This window comes from Homo sapiens, chromosome 4 (assembly GCF_000001405.40).
Source record: "Homo sapiens chromosome 4, GRCh38.p14 Primary Assembly".
Classification (NCBI taxonomy): Eukaryota; Metazoa; Chordata; class Mammalia; order Primates; family Hominidae; genus Homo; species Homo sapiens.
The window spans coordinates 152096610-152118797 of record NC_000004.12 but is presented as its reverse complement, the minus strand read 5'-3'; the positions used below and the strand labels follow the sequence as shown (position 1 = coordinate 152118797).

General features: G+C 46.0%; 1 long non-coding RNA gene across 2 annotated transcripts, besides 6 other annotated features; it reads right to left on the bottom strand.

Moving 5' to 3' along the window:
* Window positions 5623-5762: a silencer, noted in NCBI's record as "silent region_15750". NCBI's record gives its function as "represses an Ori minimal core promoter by ATAC-STARR-seq in GM12878 lymphoblastoid cells {active_cell/tissue: GM12878}" and the evidence as "EXISTENCE:reporter gene assay evidence [ECO:0000049][PMID:35858748]".
* Window positions 11586-12785: an enhancer, noted in NCBI's record as "P300/CBP strongly-dependent group 1 enhancer chr4:153027165-153028364 (GRCh37/hg19 assembly coordinates)". NCBI's record gives its function as "activates an origin of replication core promoter dependent on BRD2, BRD4, P300/CBP, MED14 and CDK7 cofactors, with strong dependence on P300/CBP, by STARR-seq in HCT116 cells {active_cell/tissue: HCT116}" and the evidence as "EXISTENCE:reporter gene assay evidence [ECO:0000049][PMID:35650434]".
* On the bottom strand, window positions 14078-18045 carry LINC02273 (long intergenic non-protein coding RNA 2273). Of its 2 annotated transcripts, none has more exons than NR_121628.1 (3): window positions 17981-18045; window positions 17218-17314; window positions 14078-15171 (listed from the first exon to the last, which is right to left on the bottom strand). It is a non-coding gene; the product is annotated as a long intergenic non-protein coding RNA 2273 (long non-coding RNA). The 2 variants fall into 2 exon arrangements; NR_121627.1 differs by lacking the exon at window positions 17981-18045 and adding an exon at window positions 17580-17980.
* Window positions 15893-17092: an enhancer, noted in NCBI's record as "P300/CBP strongly-dependent group 1 enhancer chr4:153022858-153024057 (GRCh37/hg19 assembly coordinates)". NCBI's record gives its function as "activates an origin of replication core promoter dependent on BRD2, BRD4, P300/CBP, MED14 and CDK7 cofactors, with strong dependence on P300/CBP, by STARR-seq in HCT116 cells {active_cell/tissue: HCT116}" and the evidence as "EXISTENCE:reporter gene assay evidence [ECO:0000049][PMID:35650434]".
* Window positions 17387-17887: an enhancer, noted in NCBI's record as "H3K27ac hESC enhancer chr4:153022063-153022563 (GRCh37/hg19 assembly coordinates)". NCBI's record gives its function as "activates a minimal SCP1, AML or CMV promoter by ChIP-STARR-seq in primed H9 embryonic stem cells {active_cell/tissue: H9 hESC(primed)}" and the evidence as "EXISTENCE:reporter gene assay evidence [ECO:0000049][PMID:30033119]".
* Window positions 17888-18388: an enhancer, noted in NCBI's record as "H3K27ac hESC enhancer chr4:153021562-153022062 (GRCh37/hg19 assembly coordinates)". NCBI's record gives its function as "activates a minimal SCP1, AML or CMV promoter by ChIP-STARR-seq in primed H9 embryonic stem cells {active_cell/tissue: H9 hESC(primed)}" and the evidence as "EXISTENCE:reporter gene assay evidence [ECO:0000049][PMID:30033119]".
* Window positions 17987-18281: an enhancer, noted in NCBI's record as "tiled region #7108; HepG2 Activating non-DNase unmatched - State 24:Quies, and K562 Activating non-DNase unmatched - State 21:Repr". NCBI's record gives its function as "activates a minimal TATA promoter and a strong SV40 promoter by Sharpr-MPRA in HepG2 and K562 cells {active_cell/tissue: HepG2 | K562}" and the evidence as "EXISTENCE:reporter gene assay evidence [ECO:0000049][PMID:27701403]".

Below are 22188 nucleotides of genomic sequence, written 5' to 3'. Positions count from 1 at the left end.
TGATGCCATTTAACTGCCAGGTAGCTAGCTAGAACTGGAAATGTAACCTTTAATTTGAAGGTCTGTACTTGAAGAAATTGCTTGTCTGCAGTGCTGAGGTTCTGGGAAGGTAGCAATGAGAAGGAGGGATTGAAAAGAAGGGAGAGTCACAGCTGAAAAACAGAATCTGGTGCCTCTGTGCTCCATAATGTCTCACCTTTCCTTTCCAGAAGCCCCCAAGCTCTGGCTTAGCTAAAATTATTTTGATTCATTTGGCCACCCCTCAAGATATTCAGCCAGGACACTTTGATTGGACAAAAGGGAAATGGGTTATTTAAGTGGCCCGAACTTCAGGAACAAGATATGTGTTTATACCTATTCTGTTGCTCCATTTCGGCTCCATCGGATGATAGAGAGGAAAGACTTCCTGGGCTCTCTATAGCAGAAACCTGTTGGCAAGGCAAAGACCACCTGGCCCCTGGCCAAGCCCAGCAGAGATGCTGCTTGAGAGAGACAAGTCAGCGAGTATTTGTGCAGGCTCTGGTACCTGGAACAAAAATATGCCGAGCCGCAAATTATGGCTTTCAGATGTCACCACTGCCATCTGACATTGTGTTTTAGCTGTTCACATCTTCATTACTGTGCCGCAGCCTCCCATTAAGGCTGTTACTGTGTGTAAGACAGATTTATGTTATGTGGGTTTCTGTACACCCTGAGCAACAACACTCACAAGGGTTATCAGGCTGATTGCAAAAGCCCTATGGTGGAGATGCTCTGAGTCTATAGGTTGCTTTGTGGGGGCCCCTGTGTGCGTCTGTGTGTGTCTATGTGTGTGTGTACATCCCTCCTCCATGCCCCATCTTGTAACAGCTGAAAGGAATCAGCCTCCATGCTACAGGAACTTCTTCTTTGTATGGTTTTCTCATCTCCCTTTGCTCCCTTACGGCCCCCCTCCTGGCCCATGTGCCAGATCCTTCCTCCCCCTTCTCTCTTGCTCCTCTTTGAGGTGGTAACAGACCAACACAGCAATGCCCTTGTGACTCCCTTTTCATTTTCTCAGCCTCACTCAGATTAATGGAACAGAAACATGTGCTTGCATCTGATGCCAGTAATCATATCCTGAGTGACCACAGAGAGGGAGATTAAGCAAAGGTACTGGCCCGGTCCCGGGGGATACGGTTACAGGAAGAAAGTGTTTCTTGACAGCAGCCGCTCTGGCTCCCTCTCGCTTGCCCTCCTCCTTTCCTAGCTAGGCTCATTAAGTCCCTTGAATATTTTCCATAAGATTAGTTAAAATCTATCCAGCAACGGTCCAAGTCACTCAAGAACTGGGTTTTGATCTACATTCTGATCTTCACCCATGGATGTGAACAGAACATATTTCCATATTCTTTACTTTGATTTAGTCCCTGTGATTATATATTTTGGATGTGTATTTTTTCAAACAGTGAAAGGTAAACAAGTGTATGGTTATCTAACCTGATGACTTAATTCAGCAAGTATCAACCGTGAGCAAATGACTCCTTTAGTAGGACAACATCCCTGACCCAGAGGCAGGGCAATGAGGCACATACTCAAATACTGCAACATGAGATTCAGTGTGATGAGTGTGCAGGGATAAACTGAGTGAAGCCAGGGAGCACGGAATGGAAAGCACTCCTGGCTGGGGAAACTCTGGGAGGCATCCTGGAAGAAGTGGCATTTGAGATGACCCTAAAGGGAAAGGTAAGATTTTGGTAGACGTAAATAAAAAGAAAGGCATTACCTGAGAAAGGTCCAGCTTGAGTAAAAGCCTGGAGATGGGAAGACAGAGTGTTTCAAGATGAGTGGGAATTTGAGGTAAACTGCAGAAATGTGTACCTAGAGGGAAGGTGATGGAAAGTGGACTGGGAGAGCCTTGAATTATGATGGGTGTAAAGCCAGGCTTAGGACTTATTATCAGCAGTGGGAACCATTGCAGGTTTTAGGGCAGGGAGACAAAATAGTGCCTTCCTGATGGAACTTGAAGAGTGTCCTCAAAGAAGCACAGAATATAGATTGTGGGGAAAGGGGTGTGGGAGGAGGACAGAGTAGAGATGGATCCGTTAGGAGGTTACTGCAATGGTCTGAAAAAGAGTAGAATATAAGCACTTGATGGGAATACAAAGATGGTGATATCGGAGAGATGTGGTAAAGAGAGAACTTGCAATTGGTTGGATCTTGGGGGTAAGGCCATTGGGTAAGCCAGAGATGACGCTAAGATTTGGAGAGTGAACACTGGAGGGTGGCGGGCTCTTGGGAGAGGAGGTTATAAAGGGAGGACAGAACTGGAGCAGAAAATGACCCATTCCGTTTGGGATATTTAGACATTCAGAAGAGGCACCCGAGACCTGATGCCCGACAGGGGTTGGAGCTCAGAGTTGGTGCTGACAAGAGAGGCTGGAAGTGAGGACCATCTGCATGGAGGTGTCAGGTGAGGCCCAGGGTAGGTGAGATAATGAAGGAGGCAGCACAGAGGGAGGGGTGCTAAGCTCAGATCCCTGGGTAGGCACACACATTAAAAAGAGAAAACAACGGGAGTTTCCTGCCACGGAAACCCAGAGAGGGGAGATTTCCTGTGGAATGCTGAACCGGCTGAGGATGAGGGACTGGGGCAAGGCTGCAGGATTTGTGGCTGAGGAGGAGGTCCTTGGAGTCCTTCCTGGGGCTCCATCAGGAACGAGGTGGGGCGGAAGCCGGATTAGAAGCCCCGAAGAGCGAGTGGGTGGTGAGGAAGTGTAGGCAGCAAGTGTATTTCCTGGAGAGTTTTTAAAAATAGGACGGATGCACAATGCCCCTCATTTGTGCATAGTTTGAGGGCCTTCTGCCAGGGAAATCCAGGAGACTACGGAGGCTGTGAGGGGCCAAAAGCCACCATCTCTCGTGGGTGTTTGTAAGTTTCCCTCCAAGCCAGCAACCCTGGTATGTTGGTTTCCTCATGGTAGCAGGTGAGGAAGTGGTTGTATTTGTTGTCAGCATGTACTTGTTAATGTCACAAACCAGACCTCTCCTTCAACAAGGCCCAGAGCAGGTTGCCCCAAGGAATGAGCACTGACTTGGAGTTTTCTAAAATGTTCTGCATCTGGTTTTAGGGACCACCCTAAAGGGGTGACTGTGAAGGAATCACTGCTTTTCCAGGATCTTGGTAGGAGTTGCACGAAGAATAAACAAAGAGGCATGTCAGCTTCCAACGTCTCTTTTCTGTTTCTCAGGAGAAAAAAGACTCTAACCTTTTGAAGACAGACTTGAGGTTAATTGCTCTTTCCTCAGGAAAGCCTGCCAAAGAGAAAACAAATCCCATAAGTGATGTGACAATGCCCTAGGAAGGCAGTTGATTATCCTGGTTTAGGGAGAACAGGGACTCAACTGCCTCCCATGGAAACTCTCTCCTCTCCCTAGCTTCTCACAGGTGACCCTGACGACCCACCACCCCAGCTGTTCTCCATCACCTGACAGCTGAGCCTCCAAGATGCTGGCGAGTTCTGCCTGTGCATGGCTTTGACCAGCTCCAGCCAGAAAGAGGAACTTTCAGAGTCCAGGTTTGGGGCCTGTGGATGAGTTACCTGTTACCAAGAAAGGTTACCGAGTCTCCATCACTCTTTTGGGAATGAGGCCACTTCCTACTGACAGATCCTGTAGCTATTTATGGAGAGTTTTGGCCTTTCAGCATCCAATCCCTCTTTCAATCAGGAGGCGTTCTCCACTGTGTATTATCTGAGAGGGTCCCAATGTACCACCTCCTGCTGTGGAAGCCAAAGCTGGGGTGGGGGAAGCAGGAGGTGAGAATGTGACTCAGGATCAGTCAACCACATGGGACCCTGAATCTTGCAGGAGAGGCAGAAAGAGTCAGATGTGGTTTATAAATTATTGGCAGTTATTGAAAGTCTAGAGGTGCAGCATCAAGTGTCCAGCATGGTGACATCTCACTCCAGTATTCTAATTACTTTCTCCCGTAGTGAACTGGGCTCTGGTTCCAGCTCCCTGGCCTCCTTTGCTTTCTGTGTATTTCCTGGGCCTGGCCTGGCCTTCCAGCCTTTATGCCTTGCAGTGAATTTTCCTTTCATCCAAGTTAGTCAGACTGGGTTTCTGTTGCTTGCTGCCAAGAACCTTGACAATGTAGAACAGCGAAGGGATGTGCTATAAGGCATGAGCAATAGGTTCAACTGGACCCAAGACACACACACTGTATGAAAGTTACCCTCCTGCAAGCGACCCAGAATGTCAATCCTCCAGTGAGAGAGACAGAGAATAAATAAATGTCTATACATAAATACACACACACACACACACACACACACTCACACACACACACACATATGTCAGGTGGTGACAAGAGAAAAATAAAGTACAATGAAGGAGTAGAGATCGAGTGGGCAGTATTTTAGATGGGGTGGTCAGAGAAGGGGGAGGTGAGCAGAGGCCTGAGTGGAGTGACAGAGCAGCCAAGTCGGGTACTCAGAAGAGCTTTCCAGGCAAAGGGAGCCCCAAGTGAAAAGATGCCAAGGCAAAAAAAAAAGTGTCACCTCTCTGTCTCTCCTGCTGGCACAGCTTCCTGAGAGCAGGGACTCTGTCTGTTTTCTTCACATCCACCAGGCCTAGGACACTTTCTGTCATGTAAATATCTGTTCATGAATGAATATCTGCCTGGCACGCAGGGTACAGTTCTTCACACATCATTTGCAGTTCTTCCCGATTTGCCTACAGTGGGGCATAGGATGGGAAGGAACTCGTCAGGAGTAGGTTTCAGACATGGGACCTGGGTGAGACAGGATAGGTTACCTTAGTTGTCCCCTGAAACTCAATATGATCCTCATGCAGTTGTCAGGAGGGGTTATATTATTTCATGTTTGTAAAGGTCTTAGCACCAAGGGCACAGGCCTTTATGTTCTAGAGGTTGGCTGTTATTATTACTGTTCTTACCAATCAATAATAAACTGTAAATCTATATATATATCTATGCTCATTTGGACTTGGCCTGTTACTTCTTTGTATTGAATTGATAAAGCACTGATCAAATATTCATGTTATTTATCTGCTAAGGAACAAATATAGGCAGTCTCATTCACAATACTGTTATGCCTTAGCTTATCTCCCGGGGCCCTAGAACTTCCAATCCCTTTTCTTGATTCACAGGCAAAGTCAAGGGTGGTCTCTGGCCCCTTAGGCACTTGTTTATTCCCCTGAAGGAGAGGAAATAGTATCCAGTATGGAGCTTCCTCAATGGGGAATCCCTGTCCCCTGCCCCACTGTCGCCTCCCCTCATCCCTGCCTGTGGAAGTTGGAGACTAGGGTCTCAGATGGGGGCTGTGTTTATGGGAAGGGGGTTCCATGGGCCTCCAACCCCAGCTCTGGATTTACCCTCCTCCTTATCCCTCCATCACTCTCCTCTCCTCCTCCTTCCCCACTCTCTTCCCCTTCTCCTCTGCCTCCTCCTCCTCCTCCTCTTCCTCTTCTGACTTCGAGGCATCTTTCTCTCATCCTGGTGACCCAACTTGTCCTGGCTTCTCATTTGTGCCCCAGTCCTGCCCTGACCTTCTCTTGCTGGAATAATTCCCCAAAGTAGCCCCATGAAGAACCTCATATGACCATCCACTGTTGTTTACGTTACATTTGGCCTTAGGTAAGTGAGGTCAAATGAAACAAAACTCCCACCCAGCAGCCATCACCTCATTTCCCTTTGTCAGACACTTCCACTGACCTTGGAGTGAACTGACTGTGAAGCTTCTTTCAGTCTTAAAACAGGTCAGTTTTCACAGCTGGGAGGTGTGACCTTTCACACCACGGTCTCCAGGACAGGCTGCTTCTTCCCCTAGCATCTTCTCCTTTACTGCAGGCAGCCATCACCAGTTCTCTGGGTGAACATGATTGGTGACTCTATATATATTACTTTCAGGCATTTAAATTGGTATAATAACATTCTGGAGAACTATTTGGTGATATATAAGAAAAGCCTTAAAAAATGTAGATTCCCCTGACCCAGTAATGGCACCCCTAAGAATTTATCCTGAGAAAATAATCAGAGATGCAGCCAAAAATGTATGTATAAGAATATTTATTGCAGCGCTAGTTATAATGGTAAAAAAATGAGAAACACTCCACAAGGACTGGGTTAAATAATTTATGGTACTTTTCTATAAAGGAATACTAGGCGGTGCCTTTTTTAAAGGTGTACTTAAAGCATATTGGATGATGTGCATGATGGACGTTCTCCTTTTGCCTTCCAGATTCATCCTGCGCCACCCAGGCTCCCTGCCCTCTGAACTCCTTCTGGGTGTGTCCAATGGGAAGTGCACCCTGAGGAGCTGGAGGGCAGGATGGTCATATAAGGTTCTTCATGGGGCTACTTTGGGGAATTATTATTTCAGACAGAGAAGGTCAGGGCAGAACTGGGGCAAAAATGAGAAGCCAGGACAAGGCGGGGCACCAGGATGGGAGGAGGAGGCCTCAAAGTCAGAAGAGGAAGAGGAGGAGGAGGAGGAGCAGGAGAAGACAGTGGGGAAGTAGGAGGAGAGGAGAATAATGGGGTGGAGGAGGAGGAGGGTAAATCCAGAGCTGGGGGTGGGGGCCTGTGAAACCCTCTTCCCATAAATACAACCCCCATCTGAGACCCCAGGGTTTCATTCCTGGGCTTCTCTACTCAAGGCCATCGATTTGGCCAGGTAGCACCCTCCTCCACTCATCCTCCCTACCTACTTCCTTCCTGTCCCAGTAACTTCTCCCTCCCCTTGACTCTTCAGGATTAGGGTGGGAACAGCTTCATAGTGTGCCTACTCCAGGTTTATTTCAGCATTCCTTTTGGTCGTCTAATCTAGCCTCAGGAGATTAAAGGGAAACTTGTATCCTGCTAGGACCCTAACTGATGCAATGCAAAAAAAAAAAAAAAATATATATATATATATAAAAATATATATATATATATTTATATATATATTTATTTATATATATATTTATATATATATATTTATTTATATATATATTTATATATATATATTTATTTATATATATTTATATATATATTTATTTATATATATATTTATATATATTTATATATATATTTATTTATATATATATTTATATATATTTATATATATTTATATATATATTTATTTATATATATATTTATATATTATATATATTTATATATATTTATATATATTTATATATATATTTATTTATATATATATTTATATATTATATATATATTTATATATATATTTATTTATATATATTTATATATATATTTATTTATATGTATATATATATATATAGAGAGAGAGAGAGGTCAAATTGGGTTAGAAAACAGTACAATCCCAGCTCTATAATAAATAAATATATTTAGAAAGAAAAAATATATATATGCATCTATCTACACATAGGAGAAAAAAGAAAAGACTGGAAGGAAATAGACTGAATGATTAGCTGTCATTGCCTCTGGGCTGTGAGATTGTAGGTGATTTTTCTTGTCTACTTTATACAATTCTGTGATTTCCACATCCTTGAAAATTATTATGTATCACCTTTAAAGTGAAAAAAAATTAAATAAATGTATACTTTACAACAAAACTGAAATAAAATAGAAGAGTTAGCTACACAGTAACAGTATCCTGGCATACCAGTCACCCACAAGTAGCACTGCAATTAATCAATTTTAAGTAAATTGATTATTTGGCAAATTTCATGTAATTACATAATTTAGAAGGAAATATAAACATCTTAGGAGGAATTGTAACCAGGCCTTGACTCTTACCAGCCACATCTTATCTAATGCTTCTTAAGCCTCAGTGGTGCTTAATATAACCGCTTGCTGGGCCTGGAATCCTTCACAAGCTGCACTTGTCCCAGCTCTGGCTTTGACTCTGAGTCCAGTTGTGCTCAGGGTGGGGTGGGGACAGGGGACAGGGGAACCTAGGATCAAGCTGACAGATTAAGCCAATGCTTTGGCACCCTCCAAAGTGTATCCTTAAATATGGTTCCACACTCATTTAGTGGGGATAGAGGAAAATCTGGTTTTCCATTAGTAGAAGTCATGTGCCTCTCTGCTGAAAGTAAGGGATTTATTACAAACATCAAACACGGCATAACGTTTTGGCTTACTTGAAACGGTCTTTCCTTCACAGTTTTTCTAACACTCCTAAATGGAAAGAGTTGGCTACTTACCCACTCAGGACAGAGGTAATGCATATATCGATATGGTTACAAACACTTGTTCAAAATGTTCAAAAGTTGGTTTTATGTTTGCTTTGCTTTTCTTGGGGTGCGGTGGGGTGGAGTGGGACTTTCACGTGGGCAAAACTTTTCTGTAATGTTTGATGTTGTTCAGATGTCTTTTGTATTTTCTAAGTCAGATGATTTCTTTTGAGGTGTACTAAGGGGGTTACATTTTTAAGAGAGAAAATTAATTACTTGAACATAATAAATGCTCATTATGCAGGACTTCCTTTCAGAGTTTCAGCTCTCAGAGGCTGCACGTTAAGGAAATGTTCAGGTGGCTGTCTCAGGTAGGGGTGCAGCCTCCAGTGGCATTAGGCAACTTGCTTGAGCTCATCACAAAGATGGTAATGAGTAGCTAACCATTATAAAGTTCCTGCTACATGCCCGTCTGGGGTCTAAGTGTTTCCTTTATGCCCATTTAGTGTTCAAAACTGGCACTCTTATAATTTTTATTTTATAGCCAAGGGAACAGAGCACTAGGAGGTGAAAGAAGTTGTCTAAGGTCACACATCCAGTGAGTAGTGGAACCTGGATTTGAACGCAGGCAGGTTGGCACCAAATCAGGCTCTAAGGCCACCAGAACTTTCTGTATCCATCAGGAGTGTGTTTTATGTTTTGCTTGAGGATGGAGTGTACTTTGGCTGGAGTTTCCACTTCACCAATTATATCAAGAGTCTTGTGTGGAAAGCGGGGTTAACTGGCACCATCTTTCTGATTTATTCTCATGATCTTTCAGCTCCCCTCATAGATGAGTAACTGGGACAGCTGCCCAGCTCTTCTGCCTCTAAATCCAGCTCTGCTGGCCATCCAAATGTCCCCAGTCACGGCCTGTCAGAGAGGAAACATCAGACAGGATCTCTCAGTAACGGAGCCAAGAAAAGCTGCATCCTGCTGTTCCATGGGCTTTGAGTTCCTGCACACACTCTGCCTCCTGATTCGGGAAAGAGAAAACCACATTTGAATCTTCAGGCATCCTTTGTAAATAACAGTTTCCTCCCAATCAGGAAGAGATTACTGCAGTAACCAAAGCCCCTCGCACTCCCTCCCGACTCCAGAGGTGAAGGTGTTCACTAATTACCTTCACCTGCAAAGACCATGTCTCTCTAAGCAGTGTGCCCTCAGCAGGACTTTTTAAAAACCTGCTGCAGGTTAAAAAGCAGACCTGCTCTTAATTTATTAAAAGACTTGGCATTTTTTCTCCCCACTGAGCATTTTAAAATGCAATTAGACCAAATGGAATAATAATCAGGCAAAAGTACTCAGGCGTTTTCACACTGGGGACCACCCTTTCTCTCATGCTCTTTTCCATTTCTGGGCTTTATGTTGGGACAATATACCCATGGAGCATGGGGATGGCTCTAGGGATACGTTCATGGCATCCCTCCCTCACCCCATCCCCATGTTCCTGCAGCCCCGGGCTGTCTGGAATCAACCTCTGGATCTCCACCCCACCCTTTCTGGATGCCAGGGGCTCCTCATCCTAACAGTTCTGCAGTGTGCATGGGTCAGTCTCCTGGTTAGAGACATGGAATCACATTTTCCTCCAGACCAAGCCTGGGACATCTGCATTTTTAAACAAGTTCCCTAGGGAATTGTGATGCCCAGAAGCATCTGAGAGCCACTCTGAACTCCAGGAAGGAGGTTCATATCTACCTTTTGCTTCCTTGTATACCGAGCCCCAATACAGTGTCTAGAACACAGAAGCACTCAATGAATATTTATTGCATGAATGAATGGAATTTCATGAGACCTATTAGGGTTTTTTTTATTGAAGACAAAAAGGAAGTACAATTCCACCTCATTCATCAAGGTTAGGTATAAGGAAATGGAAGGTAAGGATATGTCAGGAACCTCCTAGTTTTAATTAACACATTCAAGTATATATACAGTGTGCAGGAATTTCGTGGTGTACGTAACATACACCATGGGAGTACCCACATGTTCTATGAATAGAAAGCTCATACCCATTATTACCTTATAAACACTGGCATGAGCAGAATAGAAAAACAAATGGCAAACTTAGCTGGAAAAGGGCAAGATGCTGCCTGCAATGCTGGTATCTATGCCATAAACTAAAGAGGTGAAGGTGTGTGGTTCCGTGATATTTATTTAAACATCTTTGCGTTGTATAACCTGATACATTCCATCTCATCTCCCCTCCCATCTCATCTCCGCCCCTCATCTCATCTTCCCACCCATCTCCAGTCTGGGTCAGGTGCCCCTTCATGTGCCCAAAGAGCAGTTGCTGTGCACAGCTGCACATGTTGTCTTATTAAAATATGCCAAGTGTGCCCGTTTGTGCTGGGAGGGCCTGGGGTACAGGGTCTGCGCTTCATTTGCCTTTATGTCTCCAGGGCCTCACTTGGGGCCCACTCACACCTAATGGGCTCTCCATGAATCTTTGTCGAGTCCATCCATCCATCAGGCAATGTGGATTTCAGTAATTAAAACTATTTTCACTGGACTGGGATTCGTTGACAGGAGAACAGCAAGTTCAGAGAGCATTGTGAGCCTCAGAAGGGAAGCTATTCTTGCTTTACCAGCTTCTAACTGTCCTATTCCCTTACCCAGCCCAGCCCTCCTCCTATGATTTAATGGGCAACTAATCAAATGAAGCCTTGTTCTCTAAAAAGAAACCAGCCAGTCTGAAAAGGCTTGCAGTGAATTCCTTATCCAATCAGGGCACTTCACGCTGAGAGGAAGAAACCAGATTTGGGTATTGGCCAGACTAAATTTCCATTCAAATTCTCCATCTCCTCCTTTCCCTCCTTCCTTACTTCATACCTTCCTGCTCTCCTTCCAGACCTCCCTTCTTCCATCTCCCTGCCCCTTCCTTTTGTCCAGATTACTGCCCTTTACACAGGCACTGCATCTGAAGCACGGTAACATTCTCTGTCATGTGTAACAGGCACCACATCAATTGCTCCAAGTTCAGCCTTTGAAAAATTAAAAGGGTAATTGTCACCCAGGCAGTTTGTTTGCATTTCACACCTCCTGGCATTTCCCTGGCCCACCACTGTTTTCCTTGGGAGGCCCACCAATTTACTCTTCCTGGTCTATGAGAAAAGTCTTGGACATTTGGGCATGCACATCAGACTCTCCTCCAGCTACATAAACATTGAGATGTCCATGCAATCCTTATTTGGCCGCAAACAAGGCCAGCTTCCCACTGGACTCCTCCAGGCCCTGCTCATGCATACCTGTAGCTCCATGTCCCTGCTAGGGTGTGTATCCTCAACGTCTCTAAGCCAGGGTCTTGGCACTCAGTTGGCTGACAGTTTTAATATGCCTGGGAGAAGAGAGACCATGGGTTTGACCTTCTGGCTTTATATTTCCAAGGAGGAGAAATTGGCTGGACTCTCTTTTGTGGTGAGTATTCATTTATTCATCACTTGACAAACACTCACTGACCACCACCATGTGTGTGCAGGGCAGAGGCAGGGTGCGGGCTCTGTTGGCATGTTGCCCAGCTTCATGCCCAGGAACAAAGTCCATGCACATTTGGTCATCCCATGCAATGGGCAGATGCAGCTCTCACCAGAAAGGCCACAAACTTGAATATCTAATCACACGAACATTTGAGGCCAGAGCATGGTTCAGACACTCTCTTACAGTGACCTTGTAGTCCCACGGAGTCAGCTTTGGATGGGTGCCCGGGATCCTCCTTTCCTTCTGGCGTTTTTCTCTCTTATTTTTTCCTGGTCGTCTGCTCAACCCCAGGCTGGATCCCCATATGGTCAAAGCCATGAAGGCTGCTCTCTGGTGGATCCTCAGAGCAGGAGAACCTTATCATTCCCCACAGTAGGAGGCAGAGGTCTTTCCTCCAAAGGGTGCATCATGAGACACACCTTACCTCTTGCTGGGAGTTTACCTTGCACTGTACCATAACTTTGGTGCCTCGATGTGCCTGAGGGCCTCCCTCCTCTACTAGAGATGAGGGAGAGAATGGACATGGAGGATGGATGGGGAGATCAGGGGAGGGCTGCCAGGCAAAATATAGGAATGTTTTATCCCATGCAGTATTTGAGACATAGACTGAAACATTGTTCGTCATTCATCTGAAATTCAGATGAAACTGGGTATCCTGTGTATTTTTATTTGCTAAATCTGGCAACCCTGCTAGGAAACACATCGTCACTTTAGGAAGATCACTCCTTACTTCCTGCCACCACTAAAAACGCTGATTCAGCTGGCTGGGGCTGAGTCAGCACTGTTTAAAAGAGGAAACACTCCTTTGAAAAATGTCTTTTATTTGGAACTTCCATTTGATTGAGTCATTGTTATCCAGGCAAACCCTTGGCAGAAGGAATGACTCAGCCTCCCGTTTCTCCACCCATTCCCGTGGCCTCAGAAAAATTCCTATTTTATGATGAGATGGGACCACTTTTCCTTTCCCCTGTGGATTAGAGCTTTCTGTGTATATTTTCCAACACAGACCAACATAACAAAGTACATCAAAGTAGATTGTTTAAACAACAGAAGTTTATGGTTTCCCAGTTCTGGAAGTGAGAAGTCTGAGGTCAAGGCATGGGCAGAGTTGGTGCCTTCCAAGGCCTGTGAGGGGACATCTTTTTCAGGCCTTCCCTCAGTGTCAGGAGGTTCACTGGCAATTTTTGGTGTCCCTTAACTTACAGAAGCATCTTCACACAGTGCTCTCCCTGTATGTGTCTCTGTGTTCAAGTTCTCCTTCCTTTTTTTTTTTTTTTTTGAGACAGAGTTTCACTCAGTTGCCCAGGCTGGAGTGCAGTGGCATGATCTTGGCTCACTGCAGCCTCCACCTCCTGGGTTCAAGCCATTCCCCCACTTCAGCCTCCTGAGTAGCGGGGATTACAGGTACCCACCACCATGCCCAGCTAATTTGTATTTTTAGTAGAGATGGGGTTTCACCATGTTGCCCAGGCTGGTCTCGAACTCCTGGCCTCAAGTGACCATCCCGCCTTGGCCTCCCAAAGTGCTGGGATTATAGGCGTGAGCCACCGCACTCAGCCCAAGTTCTCCTTCTTATAAGGACACCAGTCACATTCGATTAGGGCCCACCCTAAGGACCTTATTTTAACGTGATTACCTCTATTAAGATCCTATCTCTAAATAAGGTCATATTCTGAGGTACGGGGGGTTAGAACTCCAACATAGCTTTCTTTCTGGGGGTGGGGGGTTGAGGGATACAGTTCAACCCCTAATACAGGTGCCTCAATGTCATACACATTTATATTTGCTGGGAAGATAAGGAGACATTGGAGTCAGTGGTTTGGTTTCTTTTGCTGGCTTCGGGTTGATAATGATTTAAGGTTTTGGAGTAATGGAAGATAAACTGCTTGTCACTGCCTACTCTGTGTTGCAGAAGATTGCATTTCCGTGTGAGGCCGGCCCCAGCCTGGCTCTGCAGAGGGCTTTTCCATTACCTTAAGAGCTGGTGGTGATAGCCCCCATTAATATTCAGCCCTTTGGCCTCCACCCTCTTGCATTCTCTCAGTCCTAAGCACTTCCCTCTGACCCTCCAAGAGGTAACATCAGGGTTATTGTCCCCAAGAGACCTCTGCAATTACTTGCAGGGGGAACCCGGTGAGGCTTTGCTGAGAGTGTATGCCAGGAGGGGTGTGGGTGGAGAAAGGGAGCTTGGCGTGCAGATCTTCGCCCTCCCCCGTCCAACCCAATATTAGAATCAAGGGGAACCGCGATGTCTGTCTTTGCCTCTGCTTGCTTCCCTCCTCCATGCGGATGCTGGGAGAACAAGATTAAATTCCTTGTCAGCTTGGGCTCTAAATTCTCATTTGTTTATTAAGAAGATTCTGCTTTCTCCAAGGAGCCGTCTATCCTGCTCTCCTGGGCGCTGTCCATTACTAAAGAAATGAAAGGGGACAAAGGTCCATTTTTTGGTCATGGGTTTTTTATTTGTTTTTGGCATTTTTGTTTGTTTTTTGTTTTCTTGGGTGTGTGTGTGTGTGTGTGTGTTTTCAGATGTCTGTATCACCAGGGAGAATGTTTTCTGAAGCCTGTCCAGGAAATTTGGTTCTAAGAACAGCCTGCTAATTTGAGCATCTTCAGGGATAACTCGTGCGATGAGGCTGGCATGCTGTCCACAGACAGTGGCACCATGGCGGTGGGAAGTGCGGCCTGCATTCGTCTGCCAGGGCTGCCGTGACAAAGGACCACAGGCTGGGCCGCTTACCCAACAGAAATGTATTTTCTCACAGTTCTGGAGGCTAGAAGCCCAAGATCAAGGTGTCCGCAGATTGATTTGTTCTGAGTCTCTCTCCTGGGCTTGTGGATGGCCAAGCTTCTTTGTCCGTCCTCACATGGACTTCCCACTGCACACTAATGTGTGTCCCAATTTCCTCTTATAAGGACACCAGTTGTATTGGATGAGGATCCCCTCAGTAAACTATTTAACCTGTATTAGCTCAAGAAAGACCGTGTGTCCAAATACTGTCCCATTCTGAGGTCTCAGGGGTTAGGAATGAACCTGGAGAGAGGCACAATTCAGCTCATAGCTGTGCCCCTGTAGGGGACTCAGTAGGAACTCAAATCTCAGGCTGGACCTTGCCCTGGGTAAGTGACCTTGGGGAAGGGGAATGGTATCAGTTGGGGTTTTTTGTTGTCGGCAACAGAAAACCATCCAGGCTCACTGGAGCAATGAGAGAATTGAATGAGATGATCTGGAGAGACAGTGATGCCATGGAAGGCTGGAGGACAGGCAGTAACCCTGGCACCTTGGAGAGGGGGAGTAGAAGCCGCAGGAACTGCCCTTTGGTGGAAACACAGTCAGCGCTTGGTGGCTGAAGTGAGTGAACTCAAGAGTCCTAGAGGACAGCTGTCCTGCCGGGTTCCCTGCTGTGCTGGGGCAGGAGGAGGAGGAGGGGTCCAGACTCTTGGCCTCAGTGATGGGAGTCAGGGTACAGGGTTCACATCCTCCCAGGACCACCCAGAGTCCAGGGGGGTGAGCCCTCGAGAGAAAATCAGCAGCTGTCAAAAGAGGAAATGAATGTTGGGAGGCTGAAACAATGACAGATATCTATCGCATAACATTTCCTTGCTTGAAAAAGAGGGGCTGCATTGGACGACCTCTATGCTCCGTCTTCATTAAACATTTACTAAAGCTCTCCTGTCACTGCTTTCTTGAGTTCTGTGCCTTTCTTTGTCTGGGGGTGTTGAGATGCTTTGCTAGGGATGTTTTATTGCCTGCGGTGTCTCCCTTGGCCTTTGGTGTTCCCTGGAGTTCTCCTCAGTGAGGCAAGGGACTCTGTTTGCTCAGGAAGGTCACCAGGCTTAGAGTGCTATAAAAAACCAGGGAACAGCTTCCTGGTATAGATCAGTTTATTAATGTCTTCTTTGTGATCTGTACCAGTTGTAAATATTATATTCATTATAAATAATAATTCAACCTGCCATTCCTTCTCTGGTTCTCAGTCACCTTGTCTATAAAACAAGAGGGTTGAATTAAATGATTATTAAGGTCTCTTTCCTCACTGGCCCTATTGGATTCCATGAAAATTAAACTCCTCTGGGTAGACAGTCTATGGGGCTTGACTGTGAGGCATCCCCCAAGAACTTGGAAATGGGAAATACAATTTCCATCTGAGAGAAAAATTATAAAACCAGCCAGCACCAGATCAAAGAAGATCTATTTAAAGTCTCCTTATATGGACAGGATGAATTTCAGACCAGAGCAGCCTGGACTGACAGCAGGAACATTCTGAGGGACAGAAGGGCCTGTCAGAATGGATGCAGCGTCACAGACACAGAGAGAAATGAGACCGAGGAGGATCGTCGGGATGATTCAAGCTCTGACTGAGACAAGGCTGGGGTGATGGGTGTCCGCACATTAGTAGGCTCTGGGCCTCTCCTGGCTGCATCTCTGTTATGGAGAAGGTGAGGGGCATCCAGCTATCATGACTGGGTGCCCTAAAGCAGGGATGAAAGTCAACATCTTTAACAATCCATACAGCACAGGCACCACCCAAACAGCAAGATCTTCAGCTACAGCTGGAGCAGGGACCTAGGGTCCCCATTCTACCTGCATTTACCTTCTAGTGGCTGGGAGCTCTGTGAGGTCCCTGATATGAGAAGGGCAGTGAGTAGGAGCAGACAGGAGGCTCCAGGAGCAGGCTCCTTACCAATTAGCTCAGGATTTTAGTATGTTGATAACTTAACATGTTTGAGCTATTCGGTTCAACCCCTTTGTCTAATTCTAACTCACTGGGAAATCCCTGGATTGGAATGCAGTTTCCCATATGCTTTGATCTACAGGGAACGAACAGGCATGACTGGCTTACATAATTGTGAGATGACTATATTTTTCAAGGTAAACAGTTTCTGCTTTATCAGTCTCTTAGGAGCCTGGTTACATTGATCAATGTGAATTCACCCCTATGAGAGAAATCCACTCTTAGCTTGCTGACAAAGTCAATTGCCTCAATTACAAAAAAAAAAAAAAAAAAAAGATTCCCGAACTTGCCCCATAGAAGCAAGACAGCCAAGCTTAGAAGCAGCCAGCCCAGCCCTTTTTCAAACTTAGAATCAGTGATCCAAGGGTCCTTTCAGTATTTTTCCACAGGATCTCTGGCTGAATTTCCACAGCATGTGAAAATTCAACTATACACAAGACAGCATGATGCAGCGATTTTCTTTTTTTCTTCTCTCTCTCTCTCTTTTTTTTTTTTTTGCACATTTTATTTTAGTAGCACAACTCTTATTTTCAAATGATCTTACGAAGGACCTCAAGCTGCAGATATTCATGTCTTCACATCAGGCGTCTCTACTTGGGTGTCTGACAGGCACTTAAAATATAAGATGTCCAAAGAGCATTCTGGATGCCCTGCCCCCGCTGCACATGCTCCTCCCTAATGTGCCCTCATCTCTCAGGCCTAACACCTAAAATCATTCTATTCTCAGGTCATCTCTTAGCCTCAAACTCCTGCTTCCAGCTACAAAACATATGTAGAATCCCATCCCTTCCAAGCTAGGGCCCACATAGCTGAAACCTTGTTTTCAGCCAGTATCCCCTCTTACCTGGATGACTGCAACGAACTTATAATAGGTCTTCCCACTTTTATTACTGCTTCCTATACTTCCCTGGATCGGAATGCAGTTTCCCATATGCTTCTACCTACAGGGAAAGAACAGGTATGGCTGGCTTACATAATTGTCAGATGGAGCAACATTTGCTTCACTTAAAATTGTTTTTAGAAGTCTAGACTTTAGAATCTCTACTTGTTAATGACAATATAACAATGACCAATTACTACCATTTTAAACGTATTATTTCTCTATTTAGTGAAATAATACGTTTAAAATGTAGATCAGATGGTGACTTTCACCCTGTTCAAAGTGCTCCAACATCTCCCATCACTCTTAAACTGCAAACTCCTTACCGTGGTCTACCAGGCTCTCTGCCATCTGGTTTCCTGGTAGCCCATTGGCTGAACTGCCAGCTGCTGTCTCCTTGACTCCTGTGGCTCCAGACACACTGGACTTATTGTTGGTTCTCAAATGTGCCAAGCTTGTTCTCTGCTTTGCATTTGCTGTTTCCTCTGCTTAGAACCTCTGGTGCCCTTGACTTTGAATGGCTCACTTCCTCACACCAATCAAGTCTTTGCCTAAAGTCTCTGCCTTTGCTCAGAGAGGCCTTCCCTTGCCACCTCTTTAAAATAGCCTGCCTCACTCCTACTCTCGAGCTCCTCAGTCAGCCCCCACCCAGCACACACCACATTTCATAGTGGATGTTGTTGTGTGCCACTCAGATCCCCTGGCAGAACCGAAAAACGCTTGTCACCTTAGCTGCTGGGAGTGCAGGCTCCACCAACTCACACCTGAGACACTTTCCAAGCATTGCAAAGTGTCAGAGGTGTGTCATTTCCTCTGTCAGAGGAAGCTGCTCCACCCACATGTACACCCACTTCCTGGAGGCAGCTTGCATCCAAAGGCTGGTCACATGGGAGTGCAAATGCCCAGTCCTCCAATCTTAATTAGGACAACACTGCTTGTTGTCCCAAGCTGCAAAGCTCCTCAGGAGGAAGACAGAAAGCAACTTTTCCATCTGTCCGACCTGCGTCCCTCACCCTTCACACTTGTTGCTCCTGAGATCACGCCCCAAAAACCTCCTGCAAATCTCTTTGTCAGAGTCTACTTCCTGCAGAACCTGACCTGTGGGCCTCTACCCCAAATTGTGGGTTTTTAACTTACTTGTTTATTTCCTGTCTCTCCAACAAAGACGTAAGTTCTGTAACAGCAAGGAAAGGTCTATCTTACTCCCCTCTCTATCCTGGCCCAGACGCCTAGACAGTGCCTGGAATACGTGGAAGTTCAATAAATATTGAATGAATAAATGAATGCACCCCCCAATCTATATAATAGATAATAGGGAAACTGTCTTCCTGAAATTGTTTGTGTGTCAGGGGCACTCCTCCCTCTGTCACTCCTCTACCCACCGCTGGAGAAGTACCCAGGGCACCTCAGCAGCACCTTCAGGCAGAGTCAATTTTAGAATCAGGAAAGCAAGATTCATAGCCAGGTTCCATCACTAGCAAGCCCTTCCCAGTATCTCCTGGAGTCAGTATTGGGCCTTGCAGGCTCTTTAGCTTGTTCGACTGCGACAATGAGCGCCACACTCCGCTCCTGGAAAATAAGCTGGGAGAATGGAAAAGCTAATTGAATTGGTTCATCTCTCTGAAGCCAGTGATAAATCTTAGGGGTCTGAAGAAGGCCCTAGGGGATCTAATGCCCCCAGTGAGATCTGGGGTGGGGAAATTGACCTCAGACTCTGAACCTCGAATCAAGAGTGGTTCATTTTTACTACAGAGCCTGGAAGGGAGACTGCTTGGGACCTGCCCTTGGGTGACTCCTGCTGGCCCCTGGGGAGCCAAGTTTTATTCCAGTAGAATGTCCAGGAAGCTGTGCACCCTGGTGACAACTCACTTTCGCCTATGCCTTTAGAGTAAGTCTCCTTCTTGATTTCCAGGATTGGAATTCCCTGGAATGTTCAATGTGCCATCATTACCAGGACATAAAGAATGTTTCTGGGTCAAGAAGGTGCCAGAGATGGTTTAATGCACATCCTCATTACCTAATTGTTTTCTCCTGGTCTCTTCTCCAATTGCTTCCGTGTCTGATGAATTTTTCTCTGCTTTCATATGTGTTTTTGACAGAGACAGGGGAGCAAGGCTATCTGTGGGCTTTAGATCGCCTGACTTTTCTTTTGAGCATGATGAGTTGGAGTTAGATAATGCAGGGAGACCTTCCCCCTGAACCAGGGAGGGAAATGTGGCTGGGAATGCCCACAGACGGGTGATGCCCCTCTGTCCTCAAAGTGTGTTAGACGAGTTCTGCTCTCACCTGCCCCTAGACAAGAGGCAGTCCATTAGATACTTCGCATCTGCGGTAGACTGAACCAGCACCAGCTGTGAGAGTGGCTCTGCAGCTTGGATTTCACTTCCTCCAGAAGGCAGCCAGGACAAATGCTGCTGCTCATTCTCCAGGAGGAGGTTCCAGGATGATCCAGCCATTGTTCCTCTTCGGTAGCACAAAGGCAAGGTTACCCAGAGCGGACCCAGCAAATATCCAACAGCCTTTGAGACAGTCTGGACACATCCACAGTGGTTGTTGGATGGCTCATTACACACTCTCTGAGGAGACTGGTCTCGGGTCCCTAAGCAGATTGATGTTGGCAGTGGCCCGGGAGGCAGGAACATGCATGAAGGACACAGAGGCGAGAGGAGGCGGAGCTGGATGGAGTGCATCTAAGGCCTGGGGCCAGCCAGAGAAGACACATCTCCTCCTCAGCACCACTGAGGCCACACAGCCAGGCTTGTGAGGAGATGCCTCTGAGGACCTCCGAAACACACATCACTGGCTTGAGTATAAGAGGTGCTGGAGCACCTGTAGTAGCAAACATCCTCCTAGAAAGGCAGATAATGCCTCATCTCTGCCAAGGCTAAATTGTTTTTATAACATTCTCATCATTATTCTAAAGAATAAAACCATTACTAGTACATAATGTCCTCATCAGGGTACAAGACAGGCCCCAGGCTCTATTCTTGGCCCTGGCAGTTATCTGGTTGAGTGACTTAGTAATCTAGGCAAGAGCTGCCTCAACCTTTTTTTTTTTTAATTAAATTTTTTAGGCCAGGCACAGTGGCTCACGCCTGTAATGCTAACATTTTGGAGGCCGAGGTGGGAGAGTTGCTTAGGCCAGGAGTTTGAGAGCAGCCTAAGAAACAAAGCAAAACCCCATCTCTACAAACAAACAAAGAAAACAGCCAGGCATGGTGGTGCACCTGTAGTCCCAGGTACTTGGGAGGCTGAGGTGTGAGGATCACTTAAGCCCAGGAGGTAGAGGCTGCAGGGTGCTAGGATTATGCCTCTGCACTCCAGCCTGGGCAACAGAGTGGGACCCTGTCTAAAAAACAAAATTTTGTTTAAATATCTAGGCTTTAGAATCTCCATTTGTTAATAATAATATAACAATGACCAATTACGGCCTTTACTCTTGAATGGCCACTATGGGTCAGGCACTGTCCCAGGAGCTGGAGGAATAGTGGTAAGCAAGCTGACAACCACGCTCATATCCTGGAGCTCGTATCCACGGATCATCAGACAGGCAATACTTCCCCTGTTTTAGAGCTGAGGCCACTAAGATTTAGAGCCCTGAAGTGATGGCAGGTGAAGCACTTGCCCATGGCTGCCTGTTAATGGGTCATTGCCTCTTGGTGCTAACCTACCCTTCGGTGTTCCACTTTGTGATGCTGGGGCTGGGACTCTAAACCAATTTTTTTCTAGCCTTTGCCAGCTGCTCCATGGTAGATTCTATCAGTAAGGGGGTGCTAGGGGAGGCAAGAGAGGAGGAAAAGGGACCTGCTTCCCCCTGGGTGCTTTCAGAGCCTGCCTTTGTTCCTTCCTTCCTTCCTTCCTTCCTTCCTCTCTCAATCTTTCTTTCTCTCTTTCTTTCTTACTTTCTTTCTTTCTGTCTTTCTTTCTCTCTTTGTTTCTGTCTTTCTCTTTCTCTCTCTCTCTCCCTTTCTTTTTTTCTTTCTTCCTTTTCCTTTCTTCTTTTCCTTTCTTTCTTTTCTTTTCTTTTCTTTTCTTTCTTTCCTTCTTTCTTTCTTCCTTTCTTTCTTTCTTTCCTTCCTTCCTTCCTTCCTTCCTTCCTTCCTTCCTTCTTTCTCTCATTCTTCTTTTTTTTTTTTGTTAGACGGAGTCTTGCTCTGTCGCCAAGCCGGAGTGCAGTGGTGCGATCTCAGCTCATTGCAACCTCTGCCTCCTGGGTTCAAGTGGTTATCCTGCCTCTGCCTCCCAAGTAGCTGGGACTACAGGCACATGCCACCACACCCAGCTAATTTTTGTATTTTTAGTAGAGACGGGATTTCACTATGTTGGCGAGGATGGTCTCAATCTCCTGACCTTGTGATCAGCCCGCCTCAGCCTCCCAAAGTGCTGTCCGAGGCTTTCTTCTCTGCCATGGTCTTTGTGAGCATCACTCCAGCCTCTGCACTTGCCTAGCAGCTGCCGTCACAGCTTTTCCAGCACTTACAGAACCAGCCTTGGTGTGCCCCTTCTGAGACTCCAGCACCAGCCCAGCAGAGCCCCCTCCTCAGAGAGCAAAGCCTTGGCTCCCTGGGGCCTCTCCTCCAAGCTTCTAGCTTCTAGCTTCCAGGTTATAGGAACACCATGGTGTTCCCAATTCCAGCTTCTTCTCTTGGTTCCCCCAGGCCTAGTGTGGAAGCTGCTTCCTCAAGCTGCCACCTCCATGGTATCTTAGTGTTCCTTCTCTAGCTTTCTTTTAATTTTCTAGTTAACAATGATTTATACCTAGCTAATAAGTCTTTATATAAAATCCTTCTGGCCAGAATACCTGGTAGGGCTCCTGTCCCCTGACTGGTCCCTGCTGAATGCACATGGTCATGAAACTGACCCAATTTTCCGACAAGCTGGATGCCCGTAGAAGCAAAGCTTGAGGAACTTACATTTGTACAATGAGGCGCACCT